The sequence below is a fragment of the Homo sapiens genome, chromosome 17 (genome assembly GCF_000001405.40).
Source record: "Homo sapiens chromosome 17, GRCh38.p14 Primary Assembly".
NCBI classification, from domain to species: Eukaryota; Metazoa; Chordata; class Mammalia; order Primates; family Hominidae; genus Homo; species Homo sapiens.
Genome location: NC_000017.11, coordinates 4,160,305 through 4,185,148, shown reverse-complemented (window position 1 = coordinate 4,185,148; position 24,844 = coordinate 4,160,305). Strand labels below are relative to the sequence as shown.

The following is a 24,844-nucleotide window of genomic DNA, read 5'->3' as shown; positions in this document are numbered from 1 at the left end:
CAGGATGAGCCAAGGACCCGAGGTTTTGCACTTAGGCTGCCACGCTCTTTGTGAAGGGAATTCCTGTGAGTGCTCAGATTTCGGCCATTTGTTTCCATTCAGGGAGAAACCCCGTTGCACACAGCGTGTCGGCATGGCCTGGCCAACCTCACGGCAGAGCTCCTGCAGCAAGGCGCCAACCCAAACCTGCAGACGGAGGAAGCTCTGCCTCTGCCAAAGGAGGCCGCATCCCTGACCAGCTTGGCGGACAGCGTCCATCTGCAGACGCCACTGCACATGGCGATCGCCTATAACCATCCGGATGTGGTGTCTGTCATCCTGGAGCAGAAAGGTAAGTAAGTGGGAATACTGTCCATCCTTTTGACTTGGGGACAGCAGTTTAGGATCCTTAGTTACAGAGTTGATGTTTTTTCTGTTGGTGAGTTTCATATGGCTAGTTTCTTACCCCCAAAAAATCCTTTCAGGTCAAACTAGAGAAGCATGTAGTCTGGCTCTTGACTGCTGCTTCCCTGTGTGTGTTTTCAGGATGGGGCCTGCCCATTTCATTTGTTAGGTTAAGCTGGTAGTAATGTCTGTCTTATTTGACTATTTCTCTAGGCCATTTAGTGTAGGTCAAGCAAAGCTGTGCCTCGGTGTGAGCACTGTCTTTGAGAACCCTGTTGTGGCAGGCACCCCATGAGAGAGGGGCCAGAAAGAGGGGCCAGGGGCAGCCCCTGTGGGACAGAAGGGCCGTTTCCCTCAGAAAGTCTCCCTCACGCCTTCTCTTGCCTGTCCTGAGGTTTATTTTGCTCTTGCCTCAATCCTTGTTAAGGACAGTGTTTTTTTAGCCTTGTCCTTCTGGAGGGAGGTTGGGTTTTAGGTACTATGTGCCCTTTTTTTGGTCCTCACAGAAGTTTTAAGACTGTAGGAGGGAAAGTTTTAAGATTGCGTTCTAGGAAACATCATCAGGGCGTTGTTTTAGTCTTTTTAGTAATCAAGCGTGTTTCCGTAATGGAGTCCATTTTTCTTACGTGAAGAGTCAGTGTTTTAAGCTTTAAAAAGATTCGTTTTCCCTGTAAGTTTTGCTCCAAAATATCAGATTTCTGGGCTTTGAGTCTTGACAAGATTTATCTACTCTCTTTTTATAGCATTGATCATATTATACCCAACAGGCAGTTTGAGTTCTTACTCTACTGAAGCTTTAAGTGTGATCCACAGATGGTGACATCAAGTGTTCTTTTACTTTTTCAAACATTTAGCCAATGCTCTTCATGCCACCAACAACTTGCAGATCATTCCGGACTTCAGCCTCAAAGATTCCCGAGACCAGACTGTGCTGGGCCTGGCATTATGGACTGGTAAGGCTGTGCCGGGGCCGCTGATGTCTGCAGACAGACAGCTGTCCGAAGTGGGGCCGGGTGGGACAGAGGGAGCGAGAAAGAAAGAGGAGACTGGGCTAATCATTTGGTTGTAAAATAACATTTCTGTTTGAGTTAAGCCTGTTAGATCCAGTGGAAAACTGCTGGCTTTGAGAAGCTGAGAGGGTCTGGCTGTTGTAGTAAGATGTTGAGGAAGCGGGAAAAGCCGAGCCTGGATGAGATCGGGGCTTGTTTCCCAGGCATGCACACGATCGCAGCCCAGCTGCTGGGCTCTGGAGCCGCCATCAATGACACCATGTCGGATGGGCAGACGCTACTGCACATGGCCATACAGCGGCAGGACAGCAAGAGCGCACTCTTCCTGCTGGAGCACCAGGCAGATATAAATGTCAGGTAGGAGGAAGCCGCTCTCTCCACCTAACACCAGGTAACAATTAATTGAGATGTCAAAAGCATAGCCTCGCTTGTAGAAAAGTGTTTTTGTTTCATATTAGTTAGAGGAAAGGAAACAGTAGCTCTAGAAACACACAACTGCGGTGTCATCACTGAATATCATCAAAAGACTTGATTGTAATGGCGGAAAGGAACTGTCCTTTGCTCTTGTTTGAACCTTTCAGGACCAGTGCATAGTATTGCACAAGTCTCATTGTAAAAAACAATCTAAAATCCAGGTTTTTTTTCCTTTGAGGCAGGATCTTACTCTTTTGCCTAGGCTGGAGTGCAGTGGCACAATCTCGGCTCACTGCGGCCTCCACCTACTGGGTTCAAGCATTTCTCGTGCCTCAGCCTCCCAAGTAGCTGGGATTACAGGCGCCCACCACCACGCCCAGCTCATTTTTGTACTTTTAGTAGAGACGGGGTTTCACCATGTTGGCCAGGCTGGTCTCGAACTCCTGACCTCAAGTGATCTGCCTGCCTCGGCCTCCCAAAGTGCTGGGATTACAGTCATGAGCCACTGCGGCCCACCCTAAAATCAGTTTTTAACAAGGAATTTCAGTTACAATGAAGAATGTTCCAACAAATGAGCCACCAACAAGGCCTGAGAGGGAAAAAGACATGGAGTCAAATTTTTATTGTGGTTGTATTTTCAAAAGAACTTACCTTTATCTCCAAGTGACTGAATGACTGAGTGGGGGAAGGAAGGTTTGCCAGGAGGGTTCTTGGAGTGGCATTTTATTAAGATGCTTTAAAAAGTAACTATAAGATTTCAGCACGCTGGGATGTTATCTCCGAGGGCAATAAGGTGACATGGTTATGTGTTCTAAAAAGTCAGAATGGACAGACACTATTTTCACATTTAATTTCCCTGAGAAAATATTGAATGATTGTGAGTGAATATGATTAGAGACAGAAGATTCTGGACTCTGGAATGCCCAGAAGGGCACCTTCTGTGCTTTGGGTTCAACCACAAACGTTGGTTTGGGTGTGCATGTCCTAGCAGGACTCAGGACGGGGAGACAGCCCTCCAGCTGGCCATCAGAAACCAGCTTCCACTCGTAGTTGATGCCATATGCACCCGAGGAGCTGACATGTCTGTGCCAGATGAGAAGGGGAACCCCCCGCTGTGGCTTGCATTGGCAAACAATCTGGAGGACATCGCATCCACTCTGGTGAGACAGGCACAACGTTAGCCTCTGTTTACAGATGGGGATATGTTGTGTCAGAGATGGATCTGCTGCCTGCGTAGCTGTCACAGGAGCAAGATCTGTCAAGTAACATAGTGGGACAAGGACAAGCAGTTGAAAGCATGTTAAAGAAACTTGCAGTTCAACATGGTCTTGGCTGACCTTTTGTTTTTAGGTCATCTTTACCAAGAAAACTACCAAGAAGCAAGAGAATGGCGGCGTTTCCTCAGGAGCCTTCTCCTGGGGTTGGTTGATTTGCTATGGGGTGTCCTCATTATCACCATAGTGATAATTTCCTCAATCTTAGGTTTATCTCCCTTGTTTGCAAGACAGGCCCCAAAAGTGGAGGCAAACCTGCACATTCTCATTCAGCTCTCCGAAGGGCCTGCAGTGTGATATGAAGGCGTTGTGCACCTGGAGGTTTTACCTAGTTGTTGAGATTACCTGTTAATTGCAGGTGTGTGTTACTGAGGACCCGTTGGTGCATGTGTACACAGACACTTTCTGTTTTCTGTCCCTTCTAGAACTCAGCTCTAAAGGACACAAATTAAACATAACTTGTTTATACTTCCCAAGTCTGTCCCACAGGACCTAGTGCACGAACTTGCACACAGCAAATTTTAATTAGTGTTTGTAAAATAATGAGTGATACAGATTAAAGTAATTATCAATTTATTATCAACCGTATCTTATCTGAAAGTGGATTTAATGCTATACATAGAGCTCAGACTTGGTAATAAAACTGTTTGCCTTTGCTCAGCAGTGTTTGTGAATAACCTATGTTTTTCTGCAGGTCAGACATGGCTGTGATGCCACATGCTGGGGTCCGGGACCTGGTGGGTGCCTTCAGACGCTCCTGCACAGAGCCATTGATGAAAACAACGAGCCCACCGCCTGCTTTCTTATTCGCAGGTCTGAGAGTCCCCAGTATCTCTCCACAGCTTTTTAGTGAGCTTGTTGCAAACTGGCTCTTTCCTTTTTAAATCCGTCTATAGTCTTGGCATGCCAGTAGCCGGCTTGACTTTCACAGTTAAGGTTATCAGAGAGTCACTGTTCTGTCATGTCAAGTCAGCCAGGAGCCAGGCTCACTTGTGACGGGAGGAGCTCACAGCCCTGAATCAAAGAATCTGAAAGCTGGAGTCAGCGTCCTGCTTTGGGAGCTGCCTGAGCTCCTGTAGTCACGGCAGACCAGTTCAGACTGTGAAGCAGGAGGCTATGGCTGGGGAGACCAGATGGTCTCTGCAGGACCCCACCACGATGTGTGAGTCGTAACAGGCTCTGTGGCCCCCTTGGAGTGTGGGAAGTGTGGGAGCCGAGGTTATTCAGGAAGCCTTCACAGCAGTGGTTCTCAGACTAATGGTTTTCTGGTTTTCTTTCTTTCTTTTTTTTTTTTTTTTTTTTTTTTGAGACAGAGTCTTGCTCTCTCACCCAGGCTAGAGTGCAGTGGCACCATCTTGGTTGGCTCACTGCAAACTCTGCCTCCTGGGTTCACGCCATTCTCCTGCCTCAGCCCTGGGACTACAGGCGCCCGCCTCCACGCCCGGCTAATTTTTTTTTTGTATTTTTAGTAGAGACGGGGTTTCACCATGTTAGCCAGGATGGTCTCGATCTCCTGACCTCATGATCCACCCGCCTCAGCCTCCCAAAGTGTTGGGATTACAGGCGTGAGCCACCGTGCCTGGCTCAAACTTTATGGTTTTCAAACTTTCTTTTTGTATTTTCTATTTTTGAGATGGAGTCCCATTCTGTTACGCAGGCTGGAGTACAATGGCGCCATCTCGGCTCACTGCCACCTCTGCCTCCTGGGTTCAAGTAATTCTCCTGCCTCAGCTTCCTGAGTAGCTGGGATGGGAGGTGGGATGGGCGCGCACCACCACGCCCGGTTAATTTTTGTGTTTTTAGCAGAGAGGGGGTTTCGTCACGTTGGCCAGGCTGGTCGTGGACTCCTGACCTGAGGTGATCCACCTGCCTCGGCCTCCCAAAGTGCTGGGATTAGAGGCATGAGCCACCGCATCCGGCTGGTTCTCAGGCTTTAAATGTATGCATATCCCCTGGGAAGTTTCTAACAATTCTGATGCCCGGGTTGCCCACCCCCAAGACCAGTCACAGAAGAATCTATGGGAGTGGAACCCCGACTCTGGTATTTGAGGCCAGGGACCAAGGACAGCAGACCCGGCCACAGCAGACGCTGTTGGATTGGATGAGGCTCCTGCTTTACATTTGTAATCAGCATGCCTATACGCCAGGTCCAAGCGTGGCGTTTTTTAAAATGTCCCCATTCCTTTCAGTGGCTGTGACGTGAACAGTCCCAGACAACCAGGCGCCAATGGAGAAGGAGAGGAAGAGGCTAGAGATGGGCAGACCCCTTTGCATTTGGCAGCCTCTTGGGGGCTGGAAGAGACAGTACAGTGTCTTCTGGAGTTTGGTGCCAACGTGAACGCACAGGTGTGTCGTTTCTCTTTTCCGGGGAGAGAGGTGTAGCCCCAGCATGAGGGAAGCCTCCTCCTATGGCAGAGGACCTTGCACAGTCCCCAGTTCCAGGCGCTGCTGCTTCATGAACACACGACCTCCCTAGCAGCGTTCATGATTTCAGGCTGACTGTGCTTCTCTGTGCCTTTGTCCTTACTACAACAGGAGGAAGATTTGTTTCAGCTCTTTCTCTTTGCCTCCTATTCCCCCTTAGTTACAGATTTCCTCTGAGAGTTTAGTCCCAAATCGCATACTGTATTTAGGAAAATGTCCCAGTAGCTCACTTGAGCACCCCTGAGTTACGCCCTTTGATGCTTTTCAACATTCGAGCCTGTGCAGATTTATATATAAGGCCCTATAGCCAGATAAGGAGTGGTGGCTTAGAGCGGAGACTCACTGCAGATGTGAAACACATGTTTGTGCTGGTCCTACGGTCACCACTGGGTCACTGGAACGTGGTGTAACAGGAAGTGACATTTAGTCATTTCTCTTTGGCCTCTTCAAAAGCTGAGTCAAACACAGGGTGGTAGTATTGATCGATTCTCATAACTGAAATTTGATTTAAAAGTTATACCCTTTCATATTTTTCCTGAGTTTTATCTTGCAATTGAACATTAAATTCTGTGCCTTGTTCCATAGGATGCAGAAGGAAGAACCCCCATCCACGTGGCCATCAGCAGCCAACACGGTGTCATCATTCAGCTGTTGGTTTCTCACCCCGATATCCATTTGAATGTACGAGACAGACAAGGGCTGACCCCGTTTGCCTGTGCCATGACTTTCAAGAACAACAAGTCAGCCGAGGCCATTCTCAAACGAGAGTCCGGGGCTGCTGAGCAGGTGAGTGAATAACACCTGACCTTCTCCACATGGTCCTGGGCGTCGCGGAACCTGGAGACTAGACAGATGTCACCGACTAAACAGGTCTCCTCATGGAAAGAGCTTTGTTTTGAAGTTGTACTCCTGTCCTAAGATGTGGCTGTTGAGATGTCCCATCCGTGCAGGATGAGATCCGGCTCCTCTGCCTGTGTGTCAGCGCCTGACAGTGCCCGGCTTCGATGGAAGCGGAGGCAGTGGGCTCCATCGTAGGAATTCTGTGGCATGTACAGTTGAGCTCATTCTTTGCTTTTGCTAGGTTGGTTAACTGTCCTAGTGAGGAGTGTCTTTGAAAGAGCTTGTGTTGTGATGTTGGGGCAACTTCCTGAGTGTTTCCGAGGAGTTCAGTTGCTCAGTAGCCTCGGCTGTCCTTGTTCTTTGTGGTTCTTTACCAGCTGCTACATCGGGATGGTGAACTGTTGATCTGCAACAAGCAGTTGGCTGGGAAATGACAATCACAACTGATCTGAGTAGGAGGGGGTGGGTTTATCAGGTCAGTCCTGCAGGAACTTGGCTCTCCAGCCAGCACCTAGAGTACTGGCGCATTTATCAGTGGCATTCATGAAGGTGAGATGGAACTTGGGACCCGCGTGAAGTGAGATCCTCGCATGGGTGGAGATGATTGCTTGGTGTCTTAGGCTTCCGTAACCACCGTCTTCAGCATTTTCACAAGTGTGACTGGATTGCGTAGGTGGTGACCTCACGTTTGCTCAGGTGGTGTGAAATGGCCTCTCCCGTTTCTTCTCTCCAGTGTGAAACTGGACTGCTGATGAAAGCGCTTTGTGGATCCGCTGCTTATGAGACTGGCACGTGCCGTGTGTGACGTGTGGGCCTGTGAAGCGGCGTGCCGTGTGTGTGGCACTGGGGTCGCCCTCGCTGCCGCCTCCACACTCATGCTAAGACGGCTCTGGGAACTACAGGAGACGGTGTGCTTTGATTTCATTGAGCTCTGTTGGCTTTCCATCAGCGGAGCAAAGCCCGGGCCCTGCTGTTGGCTCCCTCCCGCATTGTGTATAGAGCGTAGCTCAGTAAGAGGAAACTTTCTCCACGTTTCTCAACCCTTTGTTTGACTGCTCGGGTCAGGCCGGCAGTGCAGCTGGGGCATCAGGATGCTGGGTGCTTGTTTTAGCCAAAGCAAAGAGACTCCCAAGGCTTGTCTCCATTTTCCCTCTCCATGAGTTTCCTGATATCTTGGTGCTTGCGTTTCCCTATCCTTCAGATTGTCTTTTTCTTGGTTTTCCACATCCAGTTCCTACTACAGGAGGCTGCCACAGTGGCTCCCTTCTCCTGACCACGTGGGTGTGGCCACGCACACCTGGTTCTGTGCACAGATGTGTAGAGTGGGTCTGTGGGTGGGTTGGGGGATGGCGTTTCATGTTCATTCTTGGGAGGGGGTTTCCTAAGACTGAGGGAAGGTCTCCATCGTGACCTCTCCAGTGGTCAGTTCAGCTTGCAGATGAAGCTCAGGAGGTACTCTGAAAAGGGAACTAATATTTTGCTTTGCACTTGTTGCTGTAGGTGGATAACAAGGGCCGGAATTTCCTTCATGTGGCAGTTCAGAACTCTGATATTGAAAGTGTGCTGTTCCTGATCAGTGTCCACGCTAATGTGAATTCAAGAGTCCAGGATGCCTCCAAGTTGACCCCCCTGCACCTCGCTGTCCAAGCAGGCTCAGAAATTATTGTCCGCAATTTGGTAAGTGACACAGAAGTATTGCATGTAATAATATGTTGTCAAAGCATATTGTAGAGCTTGTGCAGAATCTCATCACAGGTGCTTTGCCCGGTGTTGTGAAAGCACCTGGGGAATTTGGGGAGCGAGGCTGGTGCACTCAGGAAACTGGTGTCAAGGGCTGCACGTCCTGAGCGCCCCACTGGGCTGCGTGGGCTGCCAGATGCTAGATGGGGCCCTTCCAGAAAGCAGGATTTCAATGGTGGAGGCAGGGTGGGAGCACCGAGGAAGTGGAGATCCACTTGTGTTCTCTGTCAGGCATTCAACTGGGACTTTGAAGTGAGCTGTCTCTCTTAATTTTCAAAACCACAGAGGGGTATGAGAAATGTTTTACATTTTACAAAGGAGAAAATGTAGGCCGAGAAAGAATTTTACCCCCGAGGCTATCTAAGCAAGTAGTGCTGGATTTTAGCCTTTTCCATTGGACTCCAAAGCCTGCTTTTTCCACCCAGGCCGGGGAGGGTCTCAGTAAAGATGTGGAGATTGGGAAGTGCATGTGGTGTGTTTACGTAGGAAAGTTTGGTTGAAGTTTTAGTAGAGTTGAAAGAGCTGTGGTTAGAGGGGCAGGAAGAAAGCAGATCGTGGGGTGTCACATTTCAAACCGAGAACTGTGAGCAGCCAGTATCTTTTAGGCAGTGGAGAAACCATTGTAAGTGTTTGAGCTGAGAGAACAAGGTCCAGAGCTGAGACAGGGCCTCATCGTCTGGTCTCTGCTCCTCAGAGCTGGCTGTCGCTGGTCCCTCCTGTCAGCCCCAGACACATGCCGCAGAACTGGCCGCTAAGGCACCTGAGCAGCCTTTGGCGCCTTGGTGTCACTGTTTCTGAAAAGTGCTTTTTAGAAAAGCCTTGTGACCTGATTGTGTTTGAGCTGAGGCAGCATTTGAAGAAGGCGCCTTGGGAGTGAGGCACACAGGTGTGGGGCGGGCTCACCAGTGACGAGACCGAGCGGAGGCCGTGGCAGTGAGTGTGAACTGAGGGCTAAGGAGCGGTGGGTATGATGGTGCCAGGAACAGATTGGATGTGGGGGAAGCAGCCAAGGAGGCGGAGCTGGGTCCCAAAGTCGTAGGGAATCGGCCTCGTGTTCATCAGTCTTTATGCCTCTGTAGGGCTGGAGGAGGTTACGGTCCCTGACCAAGGACCCCGCCTTCCTGGGGCCCGGCATGACAGATGATAGGATCGCCCAGAAACACTAGAAACAGCGGGTCTTCCAGTGTCCGTGTGCTCCTTCCTCTGAATTGATGCTGCATCCTGTTTGACCCTGTTCATACTGAAACCCCTTCCCCACTCTCTCCTCCCAGTTAACCAGCTGTGGGGCCAGTTATGATCCCTAACACAGCACCAGGGACCATGAATATACATCTGTGAGACGTCCCGTATGGAGAGTCCCATATCCACTCATATGTCTTATCGATCAGTGATTAGACTGGGCGCCCAGAGTTCTGGGGAGGCTGAGACTTAGAAGTCAGGGTCCTAACCAGAGCAGCTAAGCAGCACCTAGATTTTCCCAGAGGCAGTGCCTGTACACACGGAGGAACCAGGGGTGGCCATACACCTCAGCAGCAGCAAATTGGGTTCTGACTACAGACTACATGTATTTTCTGTTTACAGCGATTGTTTTTTAAACTTTGTCAGAAAGAGGATGACGAACTTCAAATACTAAACGAATAGGTATTATGTAAAGGTCCCTCCGGCTGTGTTGATTCTGTAATTCTTTGTGTCCCTTTTTTTCTTTCTTTTTTTTTTCTTTTTCCTTTTTTGAGACATGGTCTTGCTCTGTTGCCCAGGCTGGAGTGCAGTGACCTGATCACAGCTCGCTGCAGGCTTGACCTGCCAGGCTCAATCAATCCTCCCATCTCATCCTCCCGAGTAGCTGTGATTACAGGTGCACACCATTACACCCAGCTAATTTTTAAATTTTTTGTAGAGATGAGGTTTTGCCATGTTACCTGGGTTGGTCTCGAACTTCTGGGCTGAAGCAATCCGCCCGCCTCAGTCTCCCAAAGTGCTGGGACTACAGGCCTGAGCCACTGCACCCGGCCTGTGTTCTTTCTTTTAAAAAACAGGCCGGGTGCAGTGGCTTATGCTGTAATCCCAGGACTTTGGGAGGCCAAGGTGGGAGGATCACTTGAGGCCTGGAGTTTGACACCAGTCTGGGCAACATAGCAAGACGTTGTCTCTACAGAATTTTTCTTTTTTTTAATTAGCCAGGTATAGGGTCACATGCCTGTGGTCCTGGCTACTCAGGAGGCTGAGGTGGGCCAATCATCTAAGCCCAGGCGTTCAAGGCTGCAGTGAGCTATGATGGTACCACTGCACTCCAGCCTGGGTGACACAGCAAGTTGCTGTCTCAAGAAATAATAAATAGAAAACAATAGTGAAATAGTACATACTCATTGTGGAAAAACTCAAAGCATGTAAGGATGTGAAACAGATAGTGTCTCTCTTTGAGTCCCAGCTCTTCGGAGTATGGCATTTATGCTTTGAAACACCTTCCAAGTGCCTCTGTGCCTGCATGCTTGTGTGTACACAGAGCTCTGTCTTCCCCAGATGGAATCATACTATCTTCTAATTTGCAAGGTTTTTTAAACTTACTTGTCATCAACATCTTTCCATGTTAATCGATAAATATTTATCATCTTACTCTACTGTTTGTACCTATTACAATTTTTTACAACCAAACCCCTTTGCCTTCAGGCTTTCCTATTCCAAGCAGTAGACACCCGTAGATAGTACAGCGGCCATCACTGCAGTCCTGCACAGCTTTTATACACGAAAACCTTAGAAGTAGAGTTTCTGCATCCCAAGGAATGGCTCTTTAACATTTTGATAGGTAATTGCCAGTTTGCCCTTGGCACGGGTTTTGCTGGTTTCTGCTTCAGCAGGAGTGTGTGTGAAGCTCCTATGCTCCCAGCTCTGTCAGCAGGGCAGGCCATCAGCCTCTGTGGGTGTCAGAAGACAAGCAGGCTCGGCCCCCATAAGGGGGATCTTGATTGTGGCAGAGAGACTGACTGTTCATGTAATGAACTTCAACAGCTTCTTGCGGGAGCCAAAGTGAACGAATTAACCAAGCATCGCCAGACTGCCCTCCATCTTGCTGCCCAGCAGGACCTGCCCACCATCTGCTCAGTCCTCCTAGAGAATGGCGTGGACTTTGCTGCCGTGGATGAGAATGGAAACAATGGTAACTCCCAGTCATTCTTTAGTGGCTTGAACGATCCCTCCATTCTAGGGGTGGGGGTGCAGTGCACCCTTGGGTCTGCTCCCCACTGGGGAGGTTGGCTTTTACAGGAGCAAAGCTGTGACAGGAAGTGCTCTGGGTAGAGCATCCAACCTGCGACTGCCCAGGCCTTGGGCAGCCTCCCCATCTGAGTGGGAGCCCTGGAAGCCCACACTGCCTCCTTGGGAAACTGTTAAATCTCACCTTTGGGTAACTGCTGAAGCAGAAGGCACAGCACAGAGCAATCATGAGATTGCATTTGTGATGCATCCTTGAGGGCGGTGAAGACCAGAAAGGATGGCTCTGTGCGTGGCCAGTCGCTGCTGTGGCCGGGTCCCATTTACAGAGAGGTCTGTGAGGGTGAGGAGGAGTGGAGGTTTTTCTGCATGTGCTTCTGGGCTTGCATAGTAAGAGGATTTACTTCCCAGCTCTTCATCTTGCTGTCATGCACGGCCGGCTCAACAACATCCGGGTTCTCCTGACAGAGTGCACAGTGGACGCCGAAGCCTTTAATCTCAGGTGAGCGCGTTGGGCCCGAGTAGGCCCCGCGGCGCCTGGCCTGCTGCTCAGAGCTGCTGGTTGCTGGTGCCTCCCATCAGCCCCAGGGAGGAGCTGCAAAACCGGCCGCTGGGGCACCTCACCAGCTTCGGGTACTTTATTTTGGTACTTTTGGTACCGGTATTTTTGTTTTAATAAAAAATGCTTCTTAAAAGGTTTGGCCGGGCGCAGTGGCTCGCGCCTGTAATCCCAGCACTTCGGGAGTCCGAGGCGGGCGGATCACGAGGTCAGGAGATCGAGACCGTCCTGACTAACTTGGTGAAACCCCGTCTCTACTAAAAATACAAAAAATTATCTGGGCGTGGTGGCGGGCGCCTGTAGTCCCAGATACTCAGGCTGAGGCAGGAGAATGGCGTGAACCCGGGAGGCGGAGCTTGCAGTGAGCCGAGATCGCGCCACTGCACTCCAGCCTGGGTGACAGAGCGAGACTCCGTCTCAAAAACAAACAAAAAAACTTTTGTTATGCATGCACTTAGGTTACAGTAAAATACAAAATAAGAAAAAGAAAAACTTTTGTGACTTGTTTTGTGTCTTTTAGATTTATCCACCATCACAGAGTTCAGAAAATTCTATTTATTTTGTGTGTGATGGCCATGGCAGATACATTCCTAACTTTTCCAACTTGTTTTATCAGAGGCCAGTCACCACTGCACATTTTGGGACAATATGGCAAGGAGAATGCAGCGGCCATCTTTGATCTCTTCCTAGAATGCATGCCGGGGTATCCTCTGGACAAGCCGGATGCAGACGGCAGCACGGGTGTGTACCAAGGGCTGGGTATGTCCCGTCTCACTTGCGCACCTTGCTTCCTGGAAAAGCAAGAGCCCAGGCACACGTCGTTATCTGAGGGCGTTCAGCTCGCAGAACAGTTCTGTTGGGCCCTCCGGGTGTGAGTTACAGAGCCCTGTTGTGGAGTCTGGGGTGTCTGATTTTAGACACTGTCCCATCTCAAGTGCATGTAGCGCTCTGAAACCATCCATACCCTTCTCCAAACAGGCCTCTCCACCTGTTTTTATTTCCCTCATTTGCCTTTTGTCCAGTCAAATAGGGTCCTATGCAAGCTCCCAAATTCTAGCAGAGGAAGAAAATAGAAGCATCTCACAGGATCTTCAAAAGGAAGAAATGTGCTAGATCATGTGTCGGCATGCTCTGAGAAAGTGGCAAACTACCCAGATACACGGGGTGCCTTCTTATGCAGAGGGCTACAGGCCTCTCATGGTTGCTCTGGGTACCCGTGATCACTGTGTTCATTCGTGTGGCCCTCCTAGCTTTTCCGGTGACTCTCGCGTTCGTTTTCTTGCCGAGGACTCACGGCAGCCTCATAAGGGAAGCAGTGCATAGTTGTATCCCCGTTTTTCGGGTAAGGAAAAGTAACCCCATAAAGCAAAACCAGATGTCTCATCCCAGCCCAGAGCCCTCTGCGCAGCTGTGTGGCTGCTGCATTCCCATTCACTCACCTCTGTGGTCTTGGCAGAAATGGAGTCACCATGGGGTTGTCTGAACCTTAACATGGGACCACATATTTTATCACCATTTTTCTCTTGGTCTTGAGAGGAGTTTGTGGCCTTTGCTACGTGCGCACTGTTTTTTAAGCTTCAGAGGAGTCCGCCCCTGGGAGGGAGTGAGCAGCACGTACTCAGCAGCACCTTGCCCAGGAGCAGGGAAACAGGAACAGGCAGCAGGGAGGGGCTCCGTGTTGAGGTCCCCGGTTTACAGAGACCTGTGTGCAGATGCCTGGCCCTGTCGCATTCTAGCAGGGTGACTGGGTGCATTCTCCCTCATAGGCCTGCTTCCTCATTTGATAGTGGGAAGAATAACCCTCATCTTATTGTATGATTTTCAGAGTTAAATGAAAGAAACCCGGCATCTGGGATAGGGAAGCAGAGGGAGCGACAGTTAGCTGTAATTGTTCGTAGGGAAGGCCAGCAGGTTGGCCTGGCCAGAGCATGGGTTCCCACGGGCTCCACGGGGTGGAAGAACTTTCTGGAGCGTGTTCCTAATACTGATTTTTCTTCTCCATGTGTACACAACTCGTAGGTTTAGATTTAGTTACATTGGGTGAAAAGAGCTTTGTCCTTTGTGGAGAAACCAGTGTTTCATGCCAGAGGAAGGCAACTGAGACCACAGTAGATGATTCCCTCTGTGTTGAATCCCTCCCCACCTGCGCGACCTCAGCTCTCTTGCAGCCCAAGCTCTACGTGGGAAAGACTGTGTCTTGGAAACGGCAGCTGCTCTAGAATTCTTTGGCTCGTGGCCACATCCTTTATTGGAAGATGCTACAGGTTGTCCACAGTTCTCTCCAGAGCCTCGGGGCCCCCGTATGTCTGTGGGGACTTTGTGAACAGATTTCCTGCCAGCGGTCTGTTCTGCCCTTGGCTGTCCTCCGCCCTCCGTCTGTGGCTGCCGGGCTGGGCCGGGTGGGAAGTAGCCCTGCGCGTGCTTTTGTTTTCCAGTGCTGCTCCTGGCATACATGAAAGGGAACGCCAACTTGTGCCGCGCCATCGTCCGGTCGGGGGCTCGCCTCGGGGTGAATAACAACCAGGGAGTCAACATCTTCAACTACCAGGTCGCCACCAAGCAGCTCCTGTTCCGACTGCTGGGTGAGTGGCCCGCTCTCTGCTCTCACAGTGCAAGCACAGTCGTAGTGTTGGGATCGCCATGTATTGTATTGGTGATCTTTCAATCTCATGATGCCTTAGGATCGGAACCGCTCGTTTCCTGGCAGTAGCTGGGACCATTTCTCTGAATAAGGGAAGGACTTTTGAGCGTGTTGGGAAGGTCACTGTGAACAGTCTCTTTTCAAAGCACTCTGCCTTGTGCATTTCCCACACCCCACAACCTTCTAGAAATGCCAAAGCTCCAGGCAGGCCACCCTTCCTGTGTGTCCTGGCCACTTACCTGCACACCTGTCCTCTTGAGACTGACTCAGATCCTCCAGAACCTTCAAAATGGCCTGCTGCTCCAGCCCCTATCAGCTCTCCTTCCCCTGTGACCCTTTTGTGGAAAGGAGTGCTTCCCTCCTGATTTCATATTTGTGAATCTTTACTCTTCCCTGCTGAGGTGACAGAAAGAATCAGAATGTCTCGAGTGCCTGTGCTGTGTCATCACCCACAGTGGGGAGAGACAGGCAGGAAAACAAGCTCCGACATCCCCGGTAGCCATGGGATGGCGATGCACAGGACCTGCCCAGGGGGCACAGCTGGTCTGTGGTGGAGTCGGGTTGAAGGACAGCATTTGTGACATCTGGTCTACTGCACCTTCCCTCTGCCGTGCACTTGGCCTTTGAAAAGCTCAGCACCGGTGCCCATCACAGGGCCGGCAGCACACACATCCCATTACTCAGAAGGAACTGACGGACTCACGTGCTGCTCCGTCCCCATGAGCTCAGTGGACCTGTCTATGTAGAGCAGTCAGACAGTGCCTGGGATAGAGTGAGAGTTCAGCCAGTAAATCCAAGTGATTGTCATTCCTGTCTGCATTAGTAACTCCCAAACTAGATGTGAAAACTTAGTTCTTTCTCATAGGTTGCTCTGCCCATGGTCCCACTGCAGACCCAGGCACTCTCCGGAAGCCTGGAAATCACCCGTGTCTTCTGCCTGCTCCCGCTCACATCCCACACTTGTGTTCAGTCACTGAGTTACAGATTTTGCCTCCTCAATTTCTCTTGTCTTAGTCCCATCCTCTGTTCCCCTGGCCAGTTTGTCTAGCTGTGTGGTCTCTGTTCTCTCCCTACCGTGCCTTCCATCCCAGCCATCCCTGACTACGTGTTTCCCCCACAGACATCACACTGGTTCACCTCGTTGACCACCGTTTCCTTCTCCCCAAGTCTCCCGGGCAAGGGCTGATTCTCCAGTCTCCTCTGGGAAGCTGGCCCTGAACCACTTAGAACCTATCGCTCCTTCGTCACCTATGTCATGTGGCAGCGCTGCCTCACTTACGGGTCTGTGTTCCTGCTGCCTCCAAGCCCTGGGGCTTGCGTGGCGCCGTCGCGGTTTGACGGGACCGGGCCTCCCCCCTGTGTTGCAGATATGCTGTCCAAGGAGCCTCCGTGGTGTGACGGCTCCTACTGCTATGAGTGCACTGCCAGGTTCGGAGTCACCACTCGCAAACACCACTGGTAAGACCCCAGCGTCACTGGCAAGGAGCGAGGGGACTGCCGCTGATGTCATTGCTTCCCCCCTTCTCCAGGACAGGCCGTGAACTTGCCTGGGTCCTGCACATTGATGGGCAAACCTTGACCAAATGGAGGGATGAGATGAGCACACCCAAGGATCCTACTGAGGAACAGAGATGTAGGGAAGGCAGGGAGCCTGCAGACGGGTGGCTTTCCTGCTGGAGGCTGAAGGTGCACAGTTTCCAGGCAGCCTGCCAGGCCTGTGCCATCCTTCCTGACTTCCTGCCTGCACCAAAGCTGAGATGAGCTACTGCCCTCATGGTGTGCCTCAGTATGGGCCGCTTTGCCGAGAACTAAGGGGCTGTTCCCATTAAAATGAGATAGATAGGTCGGGTGCGGTGGCTCATGCCTGTAATCCCAGCACTTTGGGAGGCAGAGGCAGGCGGATCGCTTGAGGTCAGGAGTTCGAGACCAGCCTGGCCAACATGGCGAAACCCCGTCTCTACTAAAAATACAAAAATTAGCTGGGGGTCGTCAAAACCCTGTCTTTACTAAAAATACAAAAATTAGCTGGGGGTCGTGGTGGGCACCTGTAATCCCAGCTACTTGGGAGGCTGAGACAAGAGGTTGCAGTGAGCTGAGATCACGCCACTGCACTCCAGCGTGGCCCACAGAGCGAGACTTCATCTCAAAAAAGAAAAAAGGAAAAAAAAAGATAGTGCTGAGCTGCTCTCTTTTTGTTTGTTTTTGAGACATAGTCTTGCTCTATTACCCAGGCTGAGTACAGTGACACGAGCTCGGCTTACTGCAATCTCCACTTCGCGGGTTCAAGCGATTCTTATTCCTCAGCCTCCTGAGCAGCTGGGATTCAGGCATACGCCACCACGCCCAGCTAATTTTTGTATTTTTAGTAGAGACGGGGTTTCACCATGTTGGCCAGGCTGATCTTGAAACCCGTGCCCTCAAGTGATGCGCCTGCCTCAGCCTTCCAAAGTGCTGGGATTACAGGCGTGAGCCACCATGCCTGGCCTGAGCTGCTCTTGATCTTCCAAAAAAAAAAAAAAAAGCCTTCTTCAGTATTGCTTTAACTTGATGATTGACTAGAGTTTTGTTTTCATAGACTAAAAATTCTACATGAATTGTGGTAACCGGGCTGGCAGTTGGCAGAGTTGCCAGAGTAGCATTGCGGGCGCCTTGGCTGCCAGGCCCTGCTGCGGTTGTCCTCACGTGCCAGGAAGCAGAGTCTGTCGTTGGCGCTCCTCTCATACTTCCTTTCTTTGCTTCCACAGTCGTCACTGCGGACGTCTTCTTTGCCATAAATGCTCGACCAAGGAGATTCCTATTATAAAGTTTGATCTGAACAAGCCTGTGCGGGTTTGCAACATTTGTTTTGATGTACTGACTCTGGGTGGGGTTTCTTAGTGAGCCCCCCGGAGGGTCCAGGCCACGTCCTTGGTCACCTCCCCAGCAGCTGCTCTGCTCACCAGCCTGACCCCACCCAGAGCAGGAGCTGGCGGGTGTCTTCCTGCGGCAATAGACTGGAACGATTAAGGACCATGGTGTGATAGATCCCATTTCAAATGATTCCATATGATTGTCAGTGTGTGTGTCAGACTGTGATCGATTTCACTAGATGTCTCACTCATCAGACCAGGCCATTGGGCCTAAGTGGTAAATGTGATTAGGAATTAGACCTCTCCCCATTCTGCTAGCAACATACAGGGACACTTGGAAAACCATTTCCCCTTCCAGTAGCTTGGTGTCCATCCCAGAGCATTCATGAAGTCTTCCCGCCTGGGCTGACTGATGAGGCAGAGCCTCTCAGCGTAGGAAGCTGGCTGCTTAATGAGCTGGCTTTACTCTAGGGTAAGTGGCTGTGGACTTTTCTGCACAGTGTTTTCATAAAGATAATAGGATCCTCTTGCCCTGAAGTCTTTTTTTCTTTTTACGCTAAGCTGTATTTTTAGTGAGCTACCCCTTTTAAAAAGGTGAAATCTTTCTTAACAGGGTTCAAAGATGAGAGCTGAAAAATCGTGGCCTTAACAACTGAAAGCTTTACAGTGTTCATGCTACTGAGGTGTCAGGAGTGCAGCTGGGCCGCTTGACACCTCGTAGCAGCCGTCTCATTCTCTCGTCTTGCTGCGTCCTGTCTGTGGAGTCCTCAGTCACTCTGCTGTTGGAGAGTGCTGGAGGAAATGCACTTTTACTGTGCTGCACTTTTTATAGAGCTGCATTGTCGGTGATTCCAATTTAAAAATCCATATTCAAAAATACCCTCACACATCCCTGCATCAGTGATTCTAATGATCAGCTTTGACTGGACCTCAGCTCACACGAATCTCCAAGGAAAAACTCTACAGAGCATCTTTTAGAGCAAGAGATTCATACAGGCCAAGTGATGAGAGGGGGAGTCACCAAGGCTTCAGCCCCAAGGGCATCTCCAGCCTCAGGCCGGCAGGTCCTATGTCCTTGACACAAATGCTTCTTGCTGAAATCCTCCCTAGTGATGCTGCGAGTGCTGTTGGTCCCAGTTCTGTGTAGCTTGCCCTGCCCCATGAAGGGCCACCAGCCAAGGGCCCTGGCCACGTGTGCGCCACCTTACTTTGGAAGTCTCTGGCTTGTGTGCTGGATGAGGCTGCCAGAACTTGTTGGGCGTTCATCGCTGTTAGTACATATATTAACCGTGAGGTGTTAAACTTTTCTTTTGAAGGTTTGGCCAGTTTCTAAAAAATGCACATTTAAAGAGAAGCATCTACCACGGCTTTAAAACAAAACAACTCTGAGATGAACAATATGTGTTATACTCAGAGATTAACAATCTCAATCATACATACTGATTCTTTCAGACATTTAATAACCACTACATTTTTTTGCATTAATGAAGTTTGACTATATGTGTAAAGGGACTAAATATTTTTGCAACAGCCTGTTCTTTGTTCATTCTTTTCTGGATAGTGTGTCCTCTGTATTGCGGTAGATTTATACATTCTGTTGCCTAAATATGTGTGTAAAATGAGCTGATAAACTGGAGTACTACTTAAAAAAAAGTCTGTGATTTATAAGATGTATATGCTTTCTATGTGAATATAAGCTTGTGCACAATGTTTAAAAGAAAAACAATGAATTAGAAGAGATCCCCCGTCCCCCAGTCTGACATATTTCATACAGAATGTTTAAAAGAAAAACTCTGCTAGTCTTGGCAAACATTTGGCCATGTGAGGCATGTGGTCAGTTTCCATTTTCTATTACCTGGAAAGGGCCATAAGGAAGCAGGCAGGGCTTAGGTAGCTTGGTTACCTAAGTTAGAAAGTAAGAGAATCATGATTCGGATATGAATTGAAGTGGTTGGTACATGGATACCTGTTCTTTAAAAGGAATGTGGGAGATGAGTCAAGGGTGAGGCCGATTGTTCTGCCCATGCCCTACCATACCAATTTCAATAACAATCTTGCCTGTCATTGCACTCAGAATCTTAAGATCATGTTTCAAATATGTTGATTCAAACTTGCTTCTAAGCCTGAGTCCAGGGATAGCAATGGTACTGACCAGCTATGGACTGGGAGAACATTGAGTCCTGTTTTCCATTGGCTTCAGGGCGCATCCATGTGGATATAGGAAAAGCCTCTTTCCACAGACTTAGGAAGCCCCCCGACCACGCGGACGCTCGCTGGGCTGCACTCAGCAGGCTGCTTGAGTGGGAGCTGACTCCAACATGCCCTGCCCTGGCTGGGACTAGGCATGCTTCCAGCCCTTCCCGTGCTCTCCCTGCTGTCAACACTTGCGTACAAACCTGCCTAGCTGTTGTAAGTTTTCATCAGTAGCTTAAGTACTAGTAGCAAAAACTTAAATTCATTCAGAAAGTTGCCACTTCTGAATGAGTAGAGCAGGAAAAGTAAACTTTACTGAAACATAATTTGCTGCAACAGTCAACATTGTTATGCTGAATGTGCTCTCAACTGCCCTTTGCTCATCGCCAGATTTATTATCCAGTGTATTCCTAACAGTCTTTTGTTGTCGTTGTTTTTAAAACAAAGGTACGGACCATGTGCTATATATAAATCGAATGGCTTAAACTAATTTGCTATGATCCTCTAACACCGAAATTTCCCATAAACTTAAGTGCCTACACTTAGGACTTTTGAACTTTCAGTCATCTTTTTCGTGGTGTCTCACTGAACGATGTGTTAGAACATGTGTTCCATTTGGAGTTTTGGGCCTGTGCACGGTCAACCCCAATTACCAATTTAGTTGAGGCTGGATTCGATTGCTCAGTTCACCTGCCACGTTCTCTCCAAGGAGTGGGGTCTACGTGACCTTTAGTCCTCTACCTCAGAGCCCCGAGTCATTTCTGACCACCCCGTTCTGTGTCCTCACTCTTGTCCCTGAATGGGTCCCTGTGTGGATCTCAGTGTGTGTGTGGTTTCTCCACTCCTCCCCGCTCATGTCCCACACCTGCCATATTGAACCGTTTCTGCACTAATCTTCTCCACGGGCACGGAGTGGAGGGAACGTCTTGGGAAAGGGGAGAGCTTGACCTCCATCTAGGTTTCTTTTATCTGGAGAAAAAGAACACTTTTGAACTATGTAATGCTTCACCCTGAAAGGCAAGCTAACGCTAACTTCCCAGGTGACAGTAGCAGGAACAAGGAAGGGTAATGTTTCCATGACAGACACTTGCTTCCCTTGGGACAAGTCCCAGAAGAACTACCTGAAGCACCAAAGCTCCCCACCCCAGCCTGGTGGCAGAGGAAGCAGGTGGCACCAACTCACCAAAGGGACTTGGGAGCCACCTTCTCACTCTGTGGAAGTACTTTAGTGAGAGCTGACTGGCAAGATAAAAACCCTGAAATTCCCAGAAGTTACAGATGCCTTAAAGACTTTCTTTGGAAGATCATTGCCTGTACTATTCCTTTTTTGTGTGGCATAAATAATATATTAACCTGTTACAACTGACAACATTGGTTTTCTGCAGCTAGGGAGTCTTGAGTCGAGACTGCTCGCCTTGATGACTTGCTCTTTTTTGGCAGATGTGTGGAGTTGGCTGTTACGACATCCCTGTGTGATCCCAGAGGAGGGGCAGTAGCTGGGCAGAAACTGCAGGCACACATTTGGGTGGATCACCTGGCTTCCAGCCCCTTCGGGGTGGTGCTCAGTGTGGGGTGATGGTATCATAGAGGACCACGGCGCTTATCAGCATTGTTTCTTTGGAGTCTGTGTAATGGAATGTATTTTTCAAATACTGATATTTGCATTTTCTGTAACAATTCCTTATAATAAAATGAAGTAAAATTGTGCATTTAAAGTGGAAACTTTAATAAGACATTTGTAGTTACTTCTAATGCAGAAGTACCAATAAGCATTAAAAACAAATTTTAGAAAACTCCTGACGTGAATAAGTTTCTTGACCAGCTGCCCTCCAGAAAGTTTGAATTCCAACATTTTTCAGGAACATGCTGTTGACAGCAGTAAAAGTAGCTATTTTATGTATGTATTTTTAATTTTTAAAAGTTTCAGTAGGTTTTTGGGGTTCAGGTGGTGTTTGGTTACGTGAGGTTCTTTAGCGGTGATTTCCAGGATTTTGGGGCACCCATCACCCAAGCAGTGTACACTGGACCCTTTTATCCCTCACCCCAACCCTTTCCCCTGAGCCCCCAAAGTCCACTGTATCATTCTTAATGCCTTTACGTCCTCATGGCTTAGCTCCCGAAAAGTAGTTATTTTAAACATACTAGCTGCCTGAACTTACTGTGCCCTTGGCCCAGATTTCAGCTCATAGCACCGAGCGTGATCACTGAGGCAGTCTCAGTCACCGTCACCTGACCCCTCTGAAGTTCTCAAGAGGATCCACTCATGAGGAGCTTTCTGCTGGCCGAGGCGTGAAGGGCGACTGGCACTGTGGGTTTCAGAGAATGCTAAGGACAGTTTCAGGCCTTGCAAATTAAAACCTAGTGATCCATAAAGCCCCTGTACAAATCACTACCAATCAAGCAGCTCACGTGGCCCTCACGCTGTCCTGAGCAAATGTATTCCCTTTTTCCTGTCTTCCATTTTGCTTACCCCTAGGTCAGACTAGCTGTGGTGATTGATAGAGCTCATAAAGCTCATTCTCCAGTGGCTTTTCTCCTAGTTAATATGCATGTGAAGTGTTTCCACAGGACAATCCCAAGTAATCCTCACAGCTGCCCTTGAGGCGAACAGTGCTAACCACGCTGTCACTGGTTATGATAAGCGAAGCACAAACAGTAACCAGGCACATCAACTTCCACACGTTTGCCCAGCCAGGGAGAGCACTGGGTTTTAGTTCTGCTTTTTTATTCATGAGCTGAGAGTTCTGGGCGAGTTTCCTAACTTCTTTGCCTCTGTTTCCCTATCTACATAATGGGGGCGGGACTGTAGTCCTTAACTGACAGGGTTGCCTGGAGGAAGGTGATCAGTAATGTGTCCTTCTCATCCAAGTACCCGGATTCTGGTGTGTGCACCGCAGGCTCTTCTGGCAGTATCTGCTGCCACCGGAAGAAATCTGGGGGCTCTGGCAGTAGGAAGTACTCTCAAGGCTAGGGTCCAGCCTAGGGTTGTTGCCCTTCTCTGAGGCACCCACAGACTTCTGAGCAGGCACAGTCCTAACCTCCCCATTGGGGCCAGCTTTCAGAGTACAGCTTTGCCTAGAGCAAAGTGAGTGTGGGGCGGGGCGGGGGTCACGCAGTGGCTCAGCTGTGACCAAAAAACGTCAGACTCTTCACTCTTAGATGTTTATAGAAAACTGTAATCTCAGAATGAAAAGGCAAATGTTGAAACTTCTTTCAAGATGACTTCTTTATTTTTGGGTTTTGTTTGTTTGTTTTGGGAGAGTCTCTCTCTGTCGCCCAGGCTGGAGTGCAGTGGTGTGATCTCGGCTCACTGCAGCCTCCACCTCCCCAGTAGCTAGGACTGCAGATGCGTACCACCACACCCAGCTAATTTTTGTATTTTAGTAGAGATGGGGTTTCACCATGTTGGCCGGGCTGGCCTCCATCGAACTCCTGGCTTCAAGAGATCCGCCCACCTTGGGCTCCCAAAGTGCTGGGATTATAAGCGCCCGGCCTCCTTCACAATGTTGGAGTGGAGTGCAGCTGCAAAGGCTTTGCCTTGACACTGTGCTCACTGGTGTGGCAGAGATCAGACTCGCATCACAAAGCCCAGCTCTGTCACCCGACGGTTGATGTAACTATTAGAAGAGGTGGGGAGATATTTATGCCCCTTTTCTGGGCCATAAAATGGGAACTTCTCAAGGCAGGCATAGAGATTAAATGAGAACAAGGCCTGGCCCAGCATAGTTGCCCAATATGTATGTTTTCTCCTTCCCTTCCTTCTGCCAGCAAGTCTAACTGCATGCTCAGCCTAAGCTGAGCTTATCTGTGGCTTCCATCAGGGCCTTGCCCTTCCTCCCCCATGGTTTTGCCCAGGGCCACCTGTACTGGAGAGGGAAAGGCCAGGCATTTCTCCAGTAATTACCAGCTTCTCATGGCTGAGCCCTTCAGGCCATTAAAATGACAACCTACTCTTGCTGAACCTAATTCTTTGCTGAATCCTTTGCCCTGACATGAGAGATGTGTTACCAGATTAAGTAGGAAGGTAAGTACCATAAGGTAAGTATCAAAAAGGAAATGAATTCTCAACTGAGCAAGGAACAGAGCAGGCTGCTGAAGCCAGCCAAGTCTGTCCTGGAGCCTGCACGCAGGGCTCTTGCATCAGTCAGAGATCAGGTACCCTCTAGGCACGGCCAGAGCCCGCAGCTGGCTGGAATGACTAATGCTCCTTTTTGTTTGTTTGTTTTTTGAAGGATCAGAACATCTTGGGACCTGGCCCTCACACTCTCCCTGCATTCCTACCGCAAGGACAGCCTCTGGCTGCTCTACTGGGTTTATTCCACCATACTATAAGCCCCCTGAGGTCGGAAGCCTTGCTTCCTCGACCACCCAACCCTAACGTGATGCCTGGCACATAGTAGGTTCTTGGTAAGTTATTTGCTGAATGACTAAGGAGGACTAAATCATGGGCAGTAACTAGTTTCCAGTTAGCATGGAGTTGGGGGCTGTTTCTGGTTAATAGAGAAGTCTCAGCACTGAGCTCAGGGACTGCCTAGAACTCAGAAGAAAATCCTAATTTCAGCTCTTCTTTCTGTCTGCTCCTGGTCCTGCCCCAGGGAGGGCAGAGACATACAGAAATATGGAGGAGTGAAAATGGCACCGAATCAGGCATCCAGAGCTTTGAGTTCTAGGCTCAGGTCCATGCTCAGTGACTTAAGTTCTATGTGCCTTTATTGCCTTATCTCCAAAAAGTGCGGTGGCTCACGCCTGTAATCCCAGCACTTTGGGAGGCCGAGGTGGGCAGATTGCTTGAGCCCAGGAGTTGGAGACCAGGCTGGGCAACAAGGTAAAACCCCATCTCTACAAAAATAAAAAACTAGCCGGGCATGCTGGTACGTGCCCATCATCCCAGCTACTCGGGAGGCTGAAGTGGCAGAATCTTTTTGAGCCCGGGAGGTCAAGGCTGCAGTGAGCTATGATCACGCCACTGCACTCCAGCCTGGGCAACAGAGTAAGACCCTGTCTCAAAAAAAGAAACAACTCTGCACGAACTTCCCACACGCTAGGTGCGGTGGATATAGGGGTACAGCGCTGAGTAAAGTGGATTATAGGGGCATGGTGCTGAGTCACGTGGATATAGGGGTGAGGAGCTGAGTCACATGGATATGGGGTAAGGCTCTGAGTCATGTAGATATAGGGGTACAGCGCTGAGTAATGTGGATTATAGGGGTACGGCACTGAGTAAAGTGGATTATAGGGGTACGGAGCTGAGTTGCGTGAATGTAGGGGTACAGCGCTGAGTTGTGGATATAGGGGCACAGAGCCGAGTC

General features: G+C 49.5%; 1 protein-coding gene across 10 annotated transcripts in view, besides 4 other annotated features; it reads left to right on the top strand.

Annotated features, from left to right (window-relative positions):
* Window positions 1-21,328, top strand: part of ANKFY1 (ankyrin repeat and FYVE domain containing 1) — a 100,159-nt gene extending 78,831 nt beyond the window's left edge. For 7 of the 10 annotated variants that reach the window (NR_047571.3, NM_016376.5, XM_047436224.1 and 4 more), the window contains 14 exons: window positions 103-331; window positions 1,239-1,337; window positions 1,598-1,751; window positions 2,797-2,968; window positions 3,777-3,895; window positions 5,272-5,428; window positions 6,092-6,292; window positions 7,847-8,023; window positions 11,093-11,240; window positions 11,705-11,795; window positions 12,469-12,593; window positions 14,288-14,434; window positions 15,861-15,951; window positions 17,238-21,328. Coding sequence is in view for 9 of the 10 variants with exons in the window: in NM_016376.5 (NP_057460.3) it covers window positions 103-331; window positions 1,239-1,337; window positions 1,598-1,751; window positions 2,797-2,968; window positions 3,777-3,895; window positions 5,272-5,428; window positions 6,092-6,292; window positions 7,847-8,023; window positions 11,093-11,240; window positions 11,705-11,795; window positions 12,469-12,593; window positions 14,288-14,434; window positions 15,861-15,951; window positions 17,238-17,370 (2,043 nt within the window). In the remaining variant the exon portion in view is untranslated. The remainder of the gene's footprint in view (window positions 1-102; window positions 332-1,238; window positions 1,338-1,597; window positions 1,752-2,796; window positions 2,969-3,776; window positions 3,896-5,271; window positions 5,429-6,091; window positions 6,293-7,846; window positions 8,024-11,092; window positions 11,241-11,704; window positions 11,796-12,468; window positions 12,594-14,287; window positions 14,435-15,860; window positions 15,952-17,237) is intronic. The other 3 variants (NM_001330063.2, XM_017024733.2, NM_001257999.3) reach the window with 1 other exon arrangement.
* Window positions 5,438-6,637: an enhancer, noted in NCBI's record as "MED14-independent group 3 enhancer chr17:4081807-4083006 (GRCh37/hg19 assembly coordinates)". NCBI's record gives its function as "activates an origin of replication core promoter dependent on BRD2, BRD4, P300/CBP and CDK7 cofactors, and independent of MED14, by STARR-seq in HCT116 cells {active_cell/tissue: HCT116}" and the evidence as "EXISTENCE:reporter gene assay evidence [ECO:0000049][PMID:35650434]".
* Window positions 7,650-8,149: an enhancer, noted in NCBI's record as "H3K4me1 hESC enhancer chr17:4080295-4080794 (GRCh37/hg19 assembly coordinates)". NCBI's record gives its function as "activates a minimal SCP1, AML or CMV promoter by ChIP-STARR-seq in naive H9 embryonic stem cells {active_cell/tissue: H9 hESC(naive)}" and the evidence as "EXISTENCE:reporter gene assay evidence [ECO:0000049][PMID:30033119]".
* Window positions 8,150-8,651: an enhancer, noted in NCBI's record as "H3K4me1 hESC enhancer chr17:4079793-4080294 (GRCh37/hg19 assembly coordinates)". NCBI's record gives its function as "activates a minimal SCP1, AML or CMV promoter by ChIP-STARR-seq in naive H9 embryonic stem cells {active_cell/tissue: H9 hESC(naive)}" and the evidence as "EXISTENCE:reporter gene assay evidence [ECO:0000049][PMID:30033119]".
* Window positions 15,655-15,810: a silencer, noted in NCBI's record as "fragment chr17:4072633-4072788 (GRCh37/hg19 assembly coordinates)". NCBI's record gives its function as "represses an EF-1alpha promoter that drives an FKBP-Casp9 reporter gene in an ReSE screen in HepG2 liver carcinoma cells {active_cell/tissue: HepG2}" and the evidence as "EXISTENCE:reporter gene assay evidence [ECO:0000049][PMID:32094911]".
* Window positions 21,329-24,844: the final 3,516 nt, after the last annotated feature.